The sequence below is a fragment of the Homo sapiens genome, chromosome 11 (assembly GCF_000001405.40).
Source record: "Homo sapiens chromosome 11, GRCh38.p14 Primary Assembly".
In the NCBI taxonomy this organism is placed as follows: domain Eukaryota; kingdom Metazoa; phylum Chordata; class Mammalia; order Primates; family Hominidae; genus Homo; species Homo sapiens.
This window is the reverse complement of record NC_000011.10, coordinates 75316539-75333815: the sequence shown is the minus strand read 5'-3', so window position 1 is coordinate 75333815 and position 17277 is coordinate 75316539. Positions and strand designations below refer to the sequence as shown.

At 50.4% G+C, this 17277-nt stretch overlaps 1 protein-coding gene across 4 annotated transcripts in view, besides 9 other annotated features; it reads left to right on the top strand.

Annotated features, from left to right (window-relative positions):
* ARRB1 (arrestin beta 1) overlaps positions 1-17277 on the top strand; it is a 91540-nt gene that overhangs the window by 17846 nt on the left and 56417 nt on the right. The window lies entirely within an intron of this gene.
* Positions 195-728: an enhancer, noted in NCBI's record as "NANOG-H3K27ac-H3K4me1 hESC enhancer chr11:75044132-75044665 (GRCh37/hg19 assembly coordinates)". NCBI's record gives its function as "activates a minimal SCP1, AML or CMV promoter by ChIP-STARR-seq in naive H9 embryonic stem cells {active_cell/tissue: H9 hESC(naive)}" and the evidence as "EXISTENCE:reporter gene assay evidence [ECO:0000049][PMID:30033119]".
* Positions 1264-1797: an enhancer, noted in NCBI's record as "NANOG-H3K27ac-H3K4me1 hESC enhancer chr11:75043063-75043596 (GRCh37/hg19 assembly coordinates)". NCBI's record gives its function as "activates a minimal SCP1, AML or CMV promoter by ChIP-STARR-seq in primed H9 embryonic stem cells {active_cell/tissue: H9 hESC(primed)}" and the evidence as "EXISTENCE:reporter gene assay evidence [ECO:0000049][PMID:30033119]".
* Positions 1798-2331: an enhancer, noted in NCBI's record as "OCT4-NANOG-H3K27ac-H3K4me1 hESC enhancer chr11:75042529-75043062 (GRCh37/hg19 assembly coordinates)". NCBI's record gives its function as "activates a minimal SCP1, AML or CMV promoter by ChIP-STARR-seq in naive and primed H9 embryonic stem cells {active_cell/tissue: H9 hESC(naive and primed)}" and the evidence as "EXISTENCE:reporter gene assay evidence [ECO:0000049][PMID:30033119]".
* Positions 2332-2865: an enhancer, noted in NCBI's record as "OCT4-NANOG-H3K27ac-H3K4me1 hESC enhancer chr11:75041995-75042528 (GRCh37/hg19 assembly coordinates)". NCBI's record gives its function as "activates a minimal SCP1, AML or CMV promoter by ChIP-STARR-seq in naive H9 embryonic stem cells {active_cell/tissue: H9 hESC(naive)}" and the evidence as "EXISTENCE:reporter gene assay evidence [ECO:0000049][PMID:30033119]".
* Positions 4439-4528: an enhancer, noted in NCBI's record as "active region_5264". NCBI's record gives its function as "activates an Ori minimal core promoter by ATAC-STARR-seq in GM12878 lymphoblastoid cells {active_cell/tissue: GM12878}" and the evidence as "EXISTENCE:reporter gene assay evidence [ECO:0000049][PMID:35858748]".
* Positions 6725-7257: an enhancer, noted in NCBI's record as "H3K27ac-H3K4me1 hESC enhancer chr11:75037603-75038135 (GRCh37/hg19 assembly coordinates)". NCBI's record gives its function as "activates a minimal SCP1, AML or CMV promoter by ChIP-STARR-seq in naive H9 embryonic stem cells {active_cell/tissue: H9 hESC(naive)}" and the evidence as "EXISTENCE:reporter gene assay evidence [ECO:0000049][PMID:30033119]".
* Positions 7258-7789: an enhancer, noted in NCBI's record as "H3K27ac-H3K4me1 hESC enhancer chr11:75037071-75037602 (GRCh37/hg19 assembly coordinates)". NCBI's record gives its function as "activates a minimal SCP1, AML or CMV promoter by ChIP-STARR-seq in naive H9 embryonic stem cells {active_cell/tissue: H9 hESC(naive)}" and the evidence as "EXISTENCE:reporter gene assay evidence [ECO:0000049][PMID:30033119]".
* Positions 8462-9087: an enhancer, noted in NCBI's record as "H3K27ac-H3K4me1 hESC enhancer chr11:75035773-75036398 (GRCh37/hg19 assembly coordinates)". NCBI's record gives its function as "activates a minimal SCP1, AML or CMV promoter by ChIP-STARR-seq in naive H9 embryonic stem cells {active_cell/tissue: H9 hESC(naive)}" and the evidence as "EXISTENCE:reporter gene assay evidence [ECO:0000049][PMID:30033119]".
* Positions 10340-10966: an enhancer, noted in NCBI's record as "H3K27ac-H3K4me1 hESC enhancer chr11:75033894-75034520 (GRCh37/hg19 assembly coordinates)". NCBI's record gives its function as "activates a minimal SCP1, AML or CMV promoter by ChIP-STARR-seq in primed H9 embryonic stem cells {active_cell/tissue: H9 hESC(primed)}" and the evidence as "EXISTENCE:reporter gene assay evidence [ECO:0000049][PMID:30033119]".

The following is a 17277-nucleotide window of genomic DNA, read 5'->3' as shown; positions in this document are numbered from 1 at the left end:
CCTAAGACAGGTGGCTGTGGGGAGGGCTTCGAAGAACAAACATGATGTCCGGCTAGGTTTCAGATCCCACCCCTACTGCTTGTTATGCCTGTGACCTAGAGACGGTTACATAATCTTTCTGAACCTTGGTTTTGTCATCTTTAAAATGGGGGTAATAAAATCCTCTCCTCACCCCCATAGGGTTGTGGTAAGGCTTAAATGAGATAATGCATGGCTTAACACAGTGCCTGGTACACAGTAGGTGCTCAATACATGCTGATTGTCCCTCTCCTGCCCCATGACCCTCATCAACTTCTCTTTTACACTTCCCCGTTTGTCTGTGCCCCCAGTTGGGTGTGGGCTCCGTGGTGGCAAGGACTGATTTTTGTTCACCAATCATTCTATTCCCCAGCCCTGGCACAATGCCTTCAATACACCCTGAACTGGTTGGCAAGAAGCTGCACTGGGCCCAAAGAAAACAGTGTTAAGTTTTAGCTGGAAACCTGCTTACAACACACCTACTGTGTGCTCCTGCCAGAGCACTTACTGTATGGTTTCTGCCCTGCAGAGCTTGAATGGCCACCCACAACTGTGGCTCTGCCCTTCTTGACAAGTGGCTTTGTTTTTTTCTTCAGAGCACTTAGCACCTGCTGTAATCAATTTGGTGAGCGTTGTTGAGTCAAACTCTGTAAAATATTTGAAGATATTTATTCTGAGCCAAATATGAGTGACCGTGGCCTGTGACACAGCCCTCAGGAGGTCTTGAGAACATGTGCCCAAGGTGGTCGGGGTACAACTTGGTTTTATATATTTTAGGAGGCATGAGACATCAATCAAATACATTTAAGGAATACATTGGTTTGGTTCAGAAAGGTGGGACAACTCAAAGCGGTGGGCAGGGGTTGGGGGGAGCTTCCAGGCTATAGGTACATTTTTTTTTTTGAGATGGAGTCTCACTCTGTCGCCCAGGCCAGAGTGCAGTGGCGCGATCTCAGCTTACTGCAACCTCCGCCTCCCGGGTTCAAGTGATTCTCCTGCCTCAGCCTCCTGAGTAGCTGGGACTACAGGTGCGCCTGACCACACCTGGCTAATTTTTGTATTTTTAGTTGAGACGGGGTTTCACCATATTGGCCAGGCTGGTCTCGAACTCCTGACCTCATGATCAGCCTGCCTCGGCCTCCCAAAGTGCTGGGATTACAGGCGTGAGCCACCGCGCCTGGCCAGCTATAGGTAAACTTAAACATTTTCTGGTTGACAGGTGGTTGAGTTTGTCTAAAGACTTGGGATCCTTAGAAAGGAAATGTTCAGGTTAAGATAAAAGATTGTGGAGACGAAAGTTCTTTTGAAGTCTAATGGTGGCTGCCCTTAGAGAAAATAGATGACAAATGTTTCCTATTCAGACCTTTAAAAGGTGCTAGACTTTTAGTCATTCTCATCAGGATTGGGAGGGCCTCGAAGAAAAAGATCTAGCTATGTTTACAGACGCAGATTTTCCCCCACTAAGGATGGCTTTGCAGGGCCATTTCAAGATATGGCAGAGAAACACGTTTTGGGATAAAATATTCTGATTTTCTTCCTTATCTCGCAATTGTCACACACATCCCTGTGAAGAGACCACCAAACAGGCTTTGTGTGAACAATAAAGCTTTTTAATCACCTGGGTGCAGGTAGACTGAGTCTGAAAAAGGAATCAGCAAAGAGAGAGAGATAGGGGTGGGGCAGTTTTACAGGATTTTGGGTAGGTAGTGGAAAATTACAGTTAAAGGGGGTTGTTCTCTTGCGGGTAGGGGCGGGGGTCAAAAGGTGCTCAGTGGGGAGCTCCGGAGACTTATTGTCCAGGAGAAGGAATGTCACAAGGTAATGTCATCAGTTAAGGCAGGAACCGGCCATTTTCACTTCTTTTGTGGTTCTTCAGTTGCCTCAGGCCATCCGGATGTATACCTGCGGGCTTGAGCTCAGAAGCCTTACAGTAATGTTATGCCAGAGTCAGACTGGAAAGTAAGTCACGACATGTAGGGTTACATAAAACCCAACTGATGAGTTTCACTCGAGTCCGTGTGAAGAGACCACCAAACAGGCTTTGTGTGAGCAACAAGGCTGTTTATTTCACCTGGGTGCAGGCGGGCTGAGTCCGAAAAGAGAGTCAGTGGAGGGGGATAGGGGTGGGGCCGTTTTATAAGATTTGCGTAGGTAAAGGAAAATTACAGTCAAAAGGGGGTTGTTCTCTGGCGGGCAGGGGTGGGGGTCACAAGGTGTTCAGCGGGGGAGCTTTTGAGCCAGGATGAGCCAGGAGAAGGAATTTCACAAGATAAAGGCATCAGTTAAGGCAGGAACAGGCCATTTTCACTTCTTTTGTCATTCTTCAGTTACTTCAGGCCATCTGGATGTATACGTGCAGGTCACGGGGGCTGTGATGTCTTAGCTTGGGCTCAGAGGCCTGACAATGAGAATTCATGGTTTGTAGAAGATGACTCCCCAGACCCCTTAGACAGGAATTTGGGCAAGGTAAAAAAAAAAATCAGACATGGCCAGGCATGGTGGGTCACCCCTGTAATCCCAGCACTTTGGGAGGCCTAGGCGGACGGATCACTTGAGGTCAAGAGTTCAAAACCAGCCTGGCCAACATGGTGAAACCCTGTCTCTACTAAAAATACCAAAAAATTAGCCAGGCGTGGTGGCAGGCGCTTGTAATCCCAGCTACTTGGGAGGCTGAGGCAGAATTGCTTGAACCTGGGAGGCGGAGGTTGCGGTAAGCCGAGATCGCGCCACTGGGCGACAGAGCGAGACTCCGCCTCAAAAAATAAAAATCAGATTTTAGTCCTCAACATCTGAAATATGCCTCTCCCTGCTGGAATGCAAGTGCTGCAGGAGCTGTGTCACCAGGTACCAGTGTCTGGCACGGGGGACACGGGATATTTTTGTTGAATGAATGGCTGTCTTTCTTTTTCTCTAAAGTCCAGCCAGATTCAACTTTCAGCCCAGCTGCCTTCTAGTTGGGGAAAGTTCCCTGCCACTTTCATTCAGCTTCAGTTTCTTCATCTTTAGAATGGGAAAATAGCTGTACCATATAAAGCAAGTGCTCAGCCGGGCCTGGAACAAGGTCATGATGCCAGGTGCTATTTTTCAAATGATTTCCAAGGGTCCTCTCAGTTCTGACCTTCAGTGATCTCTCTGCCTCCAGCTTAGAGGAAGACTGGGGAGAACATTCCATTCCTAGCAGACCCTTTCTCTTGGCCTCACAATGGATTTGAAGCTCTGTGCAAACTGTTTATATTTCTTCGGCAGAGTTTATTACCCAGGCAGGCCTTCTGCAATTAATTACAAGCAAAGCAAATAACTTGTCCTTAGGAGGCTGGGCTTGGCATAAACATTTACATATAGCCAGGGGCCAGCCCAGGGGCTGGGCTCTTTCCTGCAGCCTTTGGAACAGAGAGATTAGAGGATCAGGGTGGTGTGGGGTGTTATGGGGTGGGGTGGGGAGAAACAGCTTTCCTTCAACAGCTTTTCCTGGACTCCTCCTTAGCCCTTGAGATGCTGTGCTTATGCTTTCTTTCAATCTTCCTAATTACCCAAGTAGAGTCCCTGTTTGTAGTTGAGGAATTGAAGGCTCAGCTAAGTTCAGCAATTTGTCTGAACACACAGCTTGCAGGAGCAGCAGGATCTGAAGGTTCACGTGGCAGCTGTGTAGGTAAATAGACTAGAAGAGAGAGGCTAGAAGTTGGGAAATGAGTGACAGATTGTTCGTTCGTTCATTTATTCATTCAGTGCAAATTTGTCAGGCCTCTGTCATGTGTGAAAGGGAGTCTGAGAGGCAGTAGTGACTTTTTTTTTTTTTAGAGACAGGGTCTCAGTCTTGTCATTCAGGCTAGAGTGCAGTGGTGCAATCACATCTCACTGCAGCCTCGAACTCCTGGGGTCAAGTGATCCTCCTGCATCAGCTTTTCAAGTAGCTGAGACTTGTAGCACAGGTATGTGCTACCATGCCTGGGTAGATTTTAAAATTTTTTGTAGAGATGGAGTCTTACTATGTTGCCCAGGCTGGTCTCAAACTCTTGGGCTCAAGCAATCCTCCCACCTTGATCTCCCAAAGCACTGGGATTACAGGCATGCACCACAGTGCCCAGCCAGTAGTGATTATTGTGACTGTTCGTCCCCACATGGAATGTCAGAAACCCTCTGAGGATGGTCCCATTAACAGGCTAATGTGTGGCAGAAGGTGGTTTCGTGAAAGGCCAGGAAGGCAGTGGTCCGCGTAGTGGTCATAGTCACACCATCTTACACAAAGAGACAGCTTGAGTGGATGTAGTCTTTAACAGGAGGGGCTCTGCAAGGACAACCCACTCCTCCCACCCTAGAATCTGGAATTCTAGATCCCTGAACCCTGCTTTTAGGCAGAGATGGCTCAGAGAAGGTTTGGCTCAAGGTTACACAGCAGCAAGGTTCAGTGGCTCACACCTGTAATTCCAGCACTTTGGGAGGCCAAGGCAGGAGGATCACTTGAGCCCAGGAGTTCCAGGCCAGCCTGAGCAACATGGTGAGACCCTCCATCTCTATAAAAAATACAAAAAATTAGCTAGACATGGTGGTGCGTGCCTATAGTTCCAGCTACTCAGGCGGCTGAGGTGGGAGGATCAGTTGAACACAGGATGTTGAGGCTGCAGTGAGCCCTGTGAGCCGTAATTGTTACTGCATGTCAGCCTGGGTGACAGAGCAAGAACTTGTCTCAAAAAAAAAAAAAAAAAAAAAAAGTTACACAGCAGGAAGGAATGGTCCCAGCGAAGTGCTGTTTCTAGTGTGTTTACATTTGAGAGGTGCAGTGACCAATTTGCATGGGAAACCCTTACTGGCTGCCCCACTCTCTTCAGGGCTCTGAGTTCAGTGTTTTCTGACGGCCCTCTCAGCCCAGCCGTTCCCGTTCCACTCAATGGTTTTGCTGTGCAGATCTCTGGAGCCATCTGCTGGGGGCCATCTTCCTCTGTGCATTGAGGAATACTGGGATCCAGGGAGGGCAGGAGCAGGGCACTCCTGTCTATACGCATCTTGGATGTGGTATGCCTGGCCCCTGGCCCTGGATCCTGGGACTCCTTGGCTGGACAGGAGCCCATCCCAGAGGGTGAGACTGCAGCCTCCAGGCCTCTGCAGCTTCAGACTATAGTAGAGTCTGGGACTTGGCCTGAGCTGTCCACACCAGGTGGCCAGCAGTTGGCACAGAGCCCAGAATGTGGTAACAGATGCCCAGGGAAGGCATGACACTTGGGATGGGTGAATGGCTGGTGGGAGACAAGGATGTAAGAAGGGCACTTTCATTTGGGCGGCAGGGGCTTCAGTTCAAGTCACCATCTGTATCACAAATGAACCTCAATGTTGTCTTCTGGGGAATGGGGATGAACAACTGTCCTCATTCACAGGGTTTTAGGGAGGAGGAACAGGCAGCAACTGACTATTCACAATAGCCAAAAAGTGGGAACAGACAGCCTAAATGCCCATCTGCAGATGAATGGATAAACAAATGGTGGTATATCCATGCTGTACAACATTATTCACCCATGAGAAGGAATGAAATACTGATCCATGCTATAAAGTGGACGAACCTTGCAAACCTTACGTGAAATGAAAAAAGCCAGACACAAGAGGTCACCTATAGTATGAGTCAACTTGTATGAAATATCCAGAATAGAGAAATCCATAGAGACAGAAAGCAGACACTGGTAGTTGCCAGGGGTTGGAGAGAGGAAAGAATGGGGAGAGACTACATAGTGAGTAAGGGGTTTTACTTTGGAGTGATGGAAATGCGTTGGATCTAGATAGAAGTGGCGGTTTTGCACAACGTTGTGAATGGACTAAATGCCACTGAATTGTTCACTTTATGTATTTATTTTATTTTTATTTATTTATTTGTAGAGACAGGGTCTTGCTGCATTGCCCAGGCTGCTGTCAAACTCCTGAGCTCACCCAGGCGCAATGGCTCATGCTTGTAATCCCAGCACTGGGAGGCCAAGGTGGGCAGATCACCTGAGGTCAGGAGTTCGAGACCAGCCTGGCCAACATGGCGAAACCCCGTCTCTACTAAAATTACAACAATTAGTATGGTGTGGTGGTGAACGCCTGTAATCCCAGCTACTTAGGAGGCTGAGGCAGGAGAATCGCTTGAACCCAGGAGGCAGAGGTTGCAGTAAGCCGAGATCACGCCACTGCACTCTAGCCTGGGCGACAAGAGCAAGACTCAAAAAAAAAAAACAAAAACAAAAAACAAAACAAAACAAAAAAATAAACAAACTCCTGAGCTCAAGTGATCCTCCTGTCTTGGCCTCCTAAAATGCTGGGATTACAGGCATGAACCACTGCACCCACCTCAATAAATTATTTTTTCTGCTGGTTGATGTGGTTCGCACCTGTAATCCCAGCACTTTGGAAGGCTGAGACAGGAGGATTGCTTGAGTCCAGGAGTTAGAGATCATCCTCGGCAACCTAGTGAGACTCTGTTTCAAAAAAATACATTTTATACAATTATTCTTTTTTTTTTTTTTTTTTTTTTGAGATGGAGTTTCGCTCTGTCACCCAGGCTGGAGTGCAGTGGCGCCATCTCGGCTCACTGCAAGCTCCGCCTTTTGGGTTCACGCCATTCTCCTGCCTCAGCCTCCCGAGTAGCTGGGACTACAGGCACCCGCCACTGCGCCCAGCTAATTTTTTGTATTTTTAGTAGAGACAGGGTTTCACCGTGGTCTTGATCTCCTGACCTCGTGACCCGCCCGCCTCGGCCTCCCAAAGTGTTGGGATTACAGGCGTGAGCCACCACGCCCAGCACAAAATTATTCTTAAAAATAACAAGAGTCTGGGCATGGTGGCTCATGCCTGTAATCCCAGCATTTTGTGAGGCCAAGATGGGCAGATCACTTGAGCTCAGGCCTTTGAGATGAGCCTGGGCAACATGGCAAAACTCTATCTCTACTAAAAATACAAAAATTAGGCATGGGTGTGGTGGGGCATGCCTGTAGTCCCAGCTACTCGAGAGGCTGAGGTAGGAGGTTGAAGCTGTAGTGAGCCATGATTGCAGCCCTGCACTCTAGCCTGGGCTGGAGTGACACCCTGTCTCAAAAAAAAAAAAAAAAAAAGACAGTAATTTTAAAAAGGCAGTGTGTAGTAAGAGGGGATGGGGTTGCGATGAGACATGGGCGTTAGGGTGAGACTGCTGGAGACGGTGTGTGGGAGAGAGGCTGTGGCAGGTAAGGGTGCTGAGTGGGAGGCAGAGTGGTTAAGACCAAGGTTGACTGCCAGACTTCCCACACTGCCCAAGCTGTGTGGCCTTGGGCAGGTTATTTAACCTCTCTCTGTTTCAGTTTCCCTGTCTATAAAAGAGGAATAACAAAATTTTTATTATGAGAATCTTCATCTTTTGTTATGGGAATCTTAATGTTTCCATTAGGATTAAATGAGTTAATATTTGTAAAGTGCTTGGCACAAAGTAAGTACTACGTGTTAGCTGCTGTTGTTATCACTCATTCACATTTTTATTTATTTGTTCATTTACTGCACACCCACGCTGTGCCAGGCCCTGGGCTGCTTTCTGGGGACGCAGCTGCAAGCATGACTCAGTGCCTCTCTCAGGAGCTCTCGCACATCCTCCGGCAGCACCCTCCTCCTCCCAGCCTGGAGCCTTGGCTGTTAATGAAAATTCTTCATCACCTCCTGCTTCTCCAGAGCTGCCTGAGCAGGCACCACCTCCCCTGGGACCCTGCAGAGCTCCTTCAAGGCATTAGAAAATGCCCTAGGCTTGGGAGCTGGTGCCCTAGGTTTGAGGGGACCTTAGGAAAGATCCTAGGCCTTAGTTTCCCTACCTGTCATGGGAGAGGTCAGCCTGGCTGAGCTCTGAGATTCTTCTGTTTTCTAACCTCCAAGCCTCTGAGTCAGCCGGCCCGAGTTGGGCCTGGGGCTTTTGCTTTGAGCACTGGCAGGGTCAGACCAGAGAGCCCTGGGCGTGAGGTCCAGAAGGGATCTCAGAGGTCCCTTTACGCACAAGGTTAGTGAGGTCCAGAGAGAGGCTGGGGCATGCCTGGGGGTGCCTGGAAGGTAATGGCCAAGCCTGGTTTGGGGAGCGGCTTTGGTGGCCTCAGCCCCTACCTGTTCTTAGCATGAGCCGCAGAGTTCACTAGTCTATATTTTGGATGGGCTTAAAGTGTCATGCCTGTTGAGATTTATTTTATAAAAAGTAAACTGGGCCAGGCATGGTGGCTCACGCCTATAATCCCAACACTTTGGGAGGCTGAGGCAGGTAGATCACTTGAGGTCAGGAGTTTGAGACCAGCCTGGCCAACATGGTGAAACTCCTGTCTCTACTAAAAATACAAAAGTTAGCTGGATGTGGTGGTACATGCCTGTAATCCCAGCTACTCAGGAGGCTGAGGCACGAGAATCGCTTGAACCCAGGAGGCGGAGGTTGCAGTGAGCTGAGATTGTGCCACTGCACTCCAGCCTGGGTGACAGAACGAGAGACCCTGTTGAAAAACAAAAACAAAAACAAAGTAAACTGCCTTTTTTGGGCTGGCATTCTGGGCAGCCAGAGTAGGGGCTGGGGTGAGGGTCGGGGGATTCCTGCCCCACCCCTCTGGTAGCCATTCAGGCTCAGTCTGACCTCACTTCTCCTGGACAAAAACAATCTGATTCCACTGCTGGTCCTCCTTACGGTCAATCTCTCCATGTTGGCACCTCCCCCACTGCCAGCCTCAGTTGTCACCCCTGCACCATGTAGTCCTTTCTCCAACCCTGACAACCAGCATACGTTCTCTGCCATTTCCTTCCACAGGGTTTTCTTCAGGTCTCTACCCCAAGGCCCTCCCGCCCAGCCCTGCCTGAGTCTCTGACACCTGCATCCCTCCCTGCCTCACCTCACGCCAGCCACCAGCCCTGGGTCCCCATGTGCTGGCTTCCCTCCCAGAGGTTTCTCCCAGGGACAGGGGTGGGGGTGGTTAGAGAGGCAGAAAAGTCTAGGAAGGGCCTTGCTCTCTTCTCCTTTTAAAAACAGCTACACTTTGAGTGTAGACGTAGCAGTTAGAACCTTCCAGAACTTTTCTGTGGTCTCAGAAGGGGACCAAACAGGCAAAGTCGCAGCAGAAAGGGAAGGGGCCCGAGGAGGCAGGTGGAGTTGGAGTCAGGTGCACAGGCTCTCTGGGTTCTCAGAAGACCCAGGTATGTTTCCATTCTTGCTGCCCCCTATTCCACACCCACACCCACACGCACACTCCCCAGGCCTCCAGGGCTCGGCAACGGTGATCAGGGAGGGCTTCTTTGGGTAGGATGTTCATTTATTCAGCCCTTCGTTCATTCACGGCCCTTGCTAGTGCCTCCTCGGTGCCAGGCCCTGTTCTGAACCCTGAGGACATGGAGTGGGGCCAGACCTCATCCCTACCTGAGGCTGACGAGGGCGGCTGCTGTGGACTCAGAGGAGCTTCGCACGGGCAGATAAAGACCATTCATTCATTCATTCACCAGGAAGTGCTCAGCCAGCCTGCTGTGTGCTAGGCGCTGTCCCAGCAGTAAAGGAAGCAGGCAAGAATCCCTGCCCTCATGGAGCAACTGATGCTGGTGCTATGTTCCCCTAGACCTGGGGGGAGGGCGCGGGCACACAGCCTGAGTTCTGAGGGCTTGAAAGAACTAACAGTTATCTTTCAGTAATTATTTAAGCAACAACAAAACCCTCCACATTAGACAAGGAGAAGAGAGCAATCATCCAGAATTTCATCATTTAGAAACAACATTTCTAACACTTTTTGGTGTTTGTGCTTCTTGCTGTGTGTGTGTGCATGCATGTGTTTGTGTATTCAAGCTCCATTGTGATTAAACTGTATGTAAAATTTTGAATACGTTTTTTTTTCTTCAGTATCTCCTATGCTATTAACTCGTAGTATCTCGATTCGTTAATGATTGTTCCTCATGTGGGTGCCCTACAGTTTAACCAGCCCCTTCTTTGGTATTTACATTATTTCCAGGTGTTTGGTTTTGTAAATAGTGCTGAAATGATTAGCTTTGGAGCTATCCCGTCACTTCCTGAAGGCAGAGCCTGGACCCTGGGTGGCTCAGAGGTCCCAGGCTTGGCTCTCAGCCCCTCCCATCTTCCCTGCACACCTTTCCGCTTCCTTCCTGCTCAGCTGCTTCCCTTCTTGCTCATGGGGGGAGAGAAGGTTTCCTCTCCAGGTACACTTATTTTTTTCTTTTTTGTTTTGAGACGGAGTCTTGCTCTTGTTGCCCAGGCTGGAGTGCAGTGGCGTGATCTGGGCTCACTGCAATCTTCGTCTCCTGGGTTCAAGCAATTCTCATGCCTCAGCCTCCCGAGTAGCTGGGACTACAGGCATGCACCACCACGCCTGGCTAATTTTTGTATTTTTAGTAGAGATGAGGATTTTACCATGTTGGACAGGTTGGTCTCCAGCTCCTGACCGCAAGTGATCCACCCGCCTCGGCCTCCCAAAGTGCTGGGATTACAGGCGTGAGCCACCACGCCCGGCCCCTCTAGGTACATTTCAATGAGGGTTGTTCCATTTATCTTTTGCTACATAACAAATCACCCAAAAACTTAGTGGCTCAAAACAACAACATTCATTTTGTTATGGACTGTGGTTTCTGTAGGTCAGGAGTTTGGGAAGAGCTCCGCTGGGCAGTTCTGGCTTAGGGTCTCTCTGATGGCTGCAGGTGGCACAAGGTGGGCTGGAGCAGCTGGTTGCTTGGAGCAAGACCTATTGATTTTATCTCTGAATCTGTCCAGTTTTCTCTTTCTCTCTCATTGCTACCTCCCTAATCTGGGCCACCCTCATTTCTGACCCAGATGAATAATATCAGCAAAACATACAGCACTTCCTGTGGTCCAGGTATTGTTCCAAGTTCTTTACATGCGTAAAGTTGCTCATTTAATCCTCACAACAACCCAGGAAGTAGACACTGTTGTAATCTCCATTTTACAGAAGGGAAAACTGAGACCCTGAGAGGTTTCCCATCTAATAAACGGCAGATCTAGGATTTGAACCCAGAGCAGTCTAGTTGAATCTGCCTCCTAACTGGTCTCTCTGCTTCCACTCCAGTCTCTCTGCCCTTCCATTCGCCTCCCAGCAGCCAAAGTGAACGTACTAAAGCATGACTGCATTGTGTCAATTATCTGCTGAAACCCCACCAACATCTTATCACGGTGACAGAGTAATATCCACACTTCTGATCTGGCCTTCTGGTGACCAGGCCCTGCCCCCATGTCCCTGCTGGCCTTGTACCTTCAGTGATTCCCCTGTCTTCCCCTAGAACCCTCCCATAGTAGGTTTGGTGTTTTTTGTTGTTGTTGTTTTGTTTTTTGAGATGGAGTCTTGCTCTGTTGCCCAGGCTGGAGTGCAGTGGCATGATCTTGGCTCATTGCAACCTCTGCCTCCTGGGTACAAGCGATTCTCCTGCCTCAGAATCCCAAGTAGCTGGGATTACAGGCATGTGCCACCATGCCTGGCTAGTTTTTGTATTTTTAGTAAAGACAGGGTTTTGCCATGTTGGCCAGACTGGTCTCGAACTCCTGACCTCAGGTGATCCATCTGCCTCAACCTCCCAAAGTGCTGGGATAACAGGCGTCTGGCTGGTAGGTTTGGTTTTGTTTTGCCCCAGTTCAGCACCCCAGCCCTTGTCCCTTTTGGAGTTAGTACTGCTGCTTCTTCAACTCTTAGCCCGGATGTCACTTTCTTGGGGAAGACTTCCCTGACTCCTTAGGCTGGTCTGTGCCCATCCTGGGCTCTTGGAGCCCTCCACTTTATAGCATTTATTGTGAGAGTCACCATATACTTGTTTGTATGATGCCTGTCTTGCAGGGCTGCTGTGTTACCTGCTTGTAGGAACGCTCTGTGTTCTGTTTGCACTGTGATCTGTGTCATGGTAACCAAAGGAGTTGTGTAGTGCAGAGCCCTGCAGTTTCCCTGGCCAGACGGGAAGCTTTATGTAGACAGGGCCCTTTGCCCAAATCTGCCCTATTCACCATATGTCTGATGGCCAACAGCATCTGACACACAATAGGTGCTCAATAAATTCTGTTGAATATTCATAAGAAGATCTAATGTGTATTACTAGGTGCCAGACACTACACTCACTTAATCCTCAGAACAACCTGATGGGGTGGGCACTGCTATCATCCCATTTTACAGATGAAGAAACAAGTTGAGTGAGGGGAGGTCACTTGACTGATGCCCTCTAGCCGGTTCCAACCAAGGCAGACCAGTTCACTAGGATAAAAAAGTGAATGAAAGAAGGACCCCTAAATTCCAGCAGCTTCAAGTAACTCAGATGAGGGCTGTAAGGAAAACACAGACTAAAGTCATCCCATAAAGCCTCTCTCAAATGGTGGTGAGCATGTGTGTAAGGAAGGTGGTTTCCGCCAGCAGGGAGAGAAGAAGGAGAGAAAAGGCCCTGGACAGGAGATGGGTTACTTTGGTGGTCACTCTCCCCTTGGGCTCCAAGCCTGGCTGCCTACTTTCCTGACCACAGCTTCTGCCTCCCAGGCTCACTCTGCCATAATAGAGTCCTGAGGAAGAGGTGGGGGGATGGTGGTGGGGGGGGGTGAGCAGGAATGGGGTGGGATTTTCTTCCACGTGGGGTGGGATTTTCTTCCACGTGCTGAGGTCATACCAGAGGCCTTTGTTCTTACCTACCTGGAGGCCTAAACTTTACCTTGTGCCTCTCCTGAAAGGAAGGAGGGCAGGAAAGCAGGTGTGCAGGTGAGGGAAAACAGAGAACAAGAGAAGTCAAAGGATTTGTCCAAGACACATAGGTCCCTGGGAGCCTCTTAGCCCCCACTAGTGAGTGTATGTGTGTGTCTGTGCACGTGTGTTGTGTTGAGGGCAGAGGGGCAAAGATGATGTCTCCCTATTGCTCAGCTCCCATGGCCCCTCCTGTCTCCTCATCCCAGCCTCCTGTCCCACCAGAGGAAAAGGCCCCCATGAAGGCTTTGCGAATGGAAATGAAGTGTGTCCCAGCGCCCAGTGGTCTGGGAGTCCAGGGCCATCTCTGTGCTGGCACTTCCTCTTCTGGGTTCCTTGGGTTTCCTAGCAGATTCCAGGCTTTCCAGAGACTAGGATGAATTTTACTCTACAATGTTTTTGAGTTTGTGCGGTGCTGGAGCCAGCCCAGCTGAGGTCAGGTCTGAGGGCTTTGGGAAGAGTTGGGTACTTGAGTGGGGTCTCGAAGGAGGAATCGGAGTTACCATGTGGAGCCCATGGCCTCTTCCTCCTGGAGCCTTCAGCCCTTGCGGGAACAGAGCTGAGCAGGCCCTGATGACTGATCCCTCCCCATCTCTGGTGGGGCTATCCAGCCCCCCAAGCTTTCAGAGGCTCCAGCCTCAGGGCCACCATCCAGCCACCCGCCCTTGGAGGCCTCAGCTTCTTTCCCGCCTCCTTCTCCACAGGTCTCAGTCTGCTGGGGATTCTGTTTTGGTTGGAAGGAGGAGGCGGAGGAGTTTGCATGTCTGGCTCTTTCCTCCTTTCTCATTCCTCCTCCTTTCCTCCTGCTTGCTGATCAAGATGTTTCCTCCGCCAGCCTGGCTCCACTCCAGCCCCCTCCCCACCTTGGGCAGGCAGCAGCCATCCTCTCCGGCCTGGGGCTTCTGTGGGCTGTGGCTTCCCAGGGTGCACCCTTAATGCCCTCTTCACCAGTGGAGGGTCTGTAGGCAAATCCTTCAGGATGGGGGCACCTCACCTCTTCTCTTCCTCCTCTGTTGAAGCCCAAATCTCCTGGGAGAAGAGGCTGCAGGACCACTCCAGGGCTGCCTCCTGCTCTGGGGGGGACTTTGGTCTCATCCCTGTCCCCGATGGGGCTTCGGTTTCCTGGGGAGTTCACAGCCAACTGGGCCTCTTGACACAGAGGTACATAGCATGCTTCGTATTTGTTTGGTAGGAGTTTTGTGCTGCTTTGCCAAGCATCTTTACTCCAGGCCTGGAAGCACTGGGTGGGGGCTACCCTCCACCCCACCACCTAGGCAAGTGGCCTGGAATGTAGAATTTGAGTACTTCTAATTTTTCAAACCCCAAGGGGTCCCCCTGGGGACCCTTACGGTCCCTTTCCCTGTCTGCTCCTCCTGGCTTACAGAGCTTCACAGGGATGAAACCAGCGTACATCCTGGCCTGACAGAGCCCAACCTCGGCCTTGTAGCCTTAGCACCTTGCACTGTGCCTGGGGCAGGGCAGATGCTTATTAAATTTTTGTGCAGTGAATGGCTGGAGGAGCAGCCAGGAAATCGCAGGGTGACCTGATGGAGCAGTGAGGACGGACAAGGTGCTGAGGGAACACTTCCCAGAGCCCAACTGCATTTTGAAGGATGAGTAAGAGTTGGACAGAGAGGCAGGGTGGGAAGGGCATTCCAGGCAGGAGCAGCCTGTGCAAAGTCTGAAACAGTGTGGTCAGATCTGGCACTTAGGACATGTGTGAGGAACCTTTCATCTGGGCATGGGCACCCTGGCCTCCTGGAGTGGCACCAGTGATTGGCCCCCTCACCTGGTCCCGGGTCTCTGTGCTGCGGGCCTGGGCTTGGAGAGCACGCAGGCAGTGGAAGGGGAGGATCCTGGGGGCTTGCCAGGGCTCCCCAGGGCTTGAGGCTGTGCTAATCCTTCCCTCCTGAGGCTTGGGCTCTGCTCCCCTGGGCGAGCAGGTTATGGGGTTTGAACCTGTTGGAGCCAGCTGTGGTTCAAGCAGGTTCTAGCTACCTAACATAGATAGAACCAGGTTCAGTTCTGGTCTCCGTAATTTCCTGGCTGGGACCCGGGGTAAATTATTGACTTCTGTGTGCTACAGTTGTTTCTATAATAAAGATAATAGAACCTACCTGGCAAGATTGTTATGAAAATCAAACAAGGAAACTTGTGTAAAGTTTTTCTTTTTCCTCCTTTCCTTCTGCCCCTACTCCCATGTGCTCCTCTCCTTCTTAGTAGGGCTGGCCATTTGGACTGAGGGCCTGACTATTGTTTGAAGGATCCTGGACATCCTCAGCCCTGACAGCCCAGTTCTCAGTGTCTGTGGGCCACAGGATCAGCATCCCCTTTAGAAATGCAACAGTTATGTTGGGCGCAGTGGCTCACTCCTATAATCCCAGTGCCAGTGCTTTGGGAGGCTGAGGCGGGAGGATCTCTCTTGCTTTTTTTTTTTGAGACAGAGTCTCACTCTGTTGCCCAGGCTAGGGTGCAGTGGCGTGATCTCAGCTCACTGCCACCTCCGCCTACCAGGTTCAAGCAATTCTCCTGCCTCAGCCTCCTGAGTAGCTGGGATTAAAGGTGCATGCCACCATGCCCAGCTAATTTTTGTATTTTTAGTAGAGATGGGGTTTCACCATGTTGGCCAGGCTGGTCTCGAACTCCTGACCTCAGGTGCCCCGCCCACCTCGGCCTCCCAAAGTTCTGGGATTATCGGCATGAGCCACCGTGCCCAGCCATGGGGAGATCTTTTGAGCCCAGGAGTTCAGGACTAGCCTGGGCAACATAGTGAGACCTTGTCTCCACAAATAATAATAAAAAAATTAGCCAGGCATGTTCCTGTAGTCTCAGTTACTCAGGAGGCTGAAGCTGGAGGATTGTTTGAGTCCAGGAGTTTGAGGCTGCAGTGAGCTATGATTGTGCTGTACTCCAGCTGAGGCAACAGAGTGAGATCCAATCTCTCTCTCTCTCAAAAAAAAAAAAAAAAAAAAAAAAAAAGTTAGAAATGCTTATTCCCAGGCCGACATCACATCCACTGAATCAGAACTCTAGGACTGGGCCCCAGCAACCTGTTTTTTAACAAGCCCTTCCAGTGATTGTGACCCCAGCTCAAGTGTGAGACCCACTGCCTTAGGGGACCTAAGCGTCTCGGTGGGTGGAGCCTGGCTTTGACTTCGAGTCAGGACTTTGTCTTGACATCTGAGCACATTTTCAGTTTGCACCGGGGCCCACAAATTATGTAGCTAGTCCTCGGTGCTGGTCCCTGCCGTGACCCAGGCTAGGGGGTAACCTCTAGGAAGTCACTTCACCTTTCAGAGTCTCGCTGTCCTCATCTGTGCAGCCGGATGATCATTCTCACTCTGCTGGAGCACTGATGGGGGTTAAGTGTGATGCCTAAGCACAGCTCTTAGCACAGGGCCTGGCACAGGCGAGTGTGGAGTGACTCTGAGGCTGGGTGCCAGTGCGGTGCACACCCCTGGGGATACCATGGCAGCAAAACAGACATGTCCTTGGCTTAATGGGGCTTATGGTCTGGAGCAGGTAGACAGACGGCAAGAGATGCACACTGTGAAATGTGCTCCGAGGGAAAAGTGCAGGCACAGGAGATTGTCTGATGGGGGGATCTGACCTAGTTGCAGCTCACTAAAGGCTTTGGAAGTGCCAAAGGAGCAAAACTCAGAGAAGGAGTGGCTGTGAACCGGGTGTGGGGGTGAGGATGCCGTCGGGGGTTGGGGGAGGCAGCAGCACTGCTATGTGTTATTTTCACAGAAGTTAATAACCAGCCTCTGGGGTAGGCTGATGGGAGGGGAGAGCACCTGGAGGGAGGAGATGGGCCATAGGGGCTAAGGGTGGGTGAGAGGCTGCTTTGGGGGCCTCATCTTCCTGATCTGGGTTCCTTTCCTTCAAAAAGACCCTAGACTGTAGCCATTTAGAATGGAAATGGGGCCGTTACCCAGAGGCCACCTGACACAGTGGAGGAGAATGACTTTGCCAGCCAGTGCCACAAGTTAAGTTGTTTTACCTCTGGGAACCTTAGCTTCATGTAAGCAAAATGGGATTATTATTATTATTATTTTGAGACGGAGTCTCGCTCTGTTGCCCAGGCTGGAGGGCAGTAGTAGCTCGATCTCGGCTGACTGCAACCTCCACCTACCGGGTTCAAACGATTCTTCTGCCTCAGTCTCCCGAGTAGCTGGGACTACAGGTACGCGCCACTACACATGGCTAATTTTTGTATTATTAGTAGAGATGGGGTTTCACCATATTGCCCAGGCTGGTCTCAAACTCCTGACCTCATGATCTGCCCACCTCAGCCTCCCAAAGTGCTGGGATTACAGGCGTGAGCCACTGCACCTGGCCTATTATTTTTTTTAATTAAAAAAAAATTTTTTTAAAGAGATAAGTCTCACTGTCTTGCCTAGGCTGGTCTTGACCTCCTGTCCTTAAATGATTCTCCTGCCTGTGTCTTCTGAGTTGCTGGGATTACAGGGGTGAGCCATCGTGCCTGGCAAAATGGGACTGGACTACTGCCTAGCCCCTCTCGTTGTGCTGTTGTGGGGTTTAAGCGAGATGTTTCATGGCAGGTTCCCATGACACCCACCCGCTG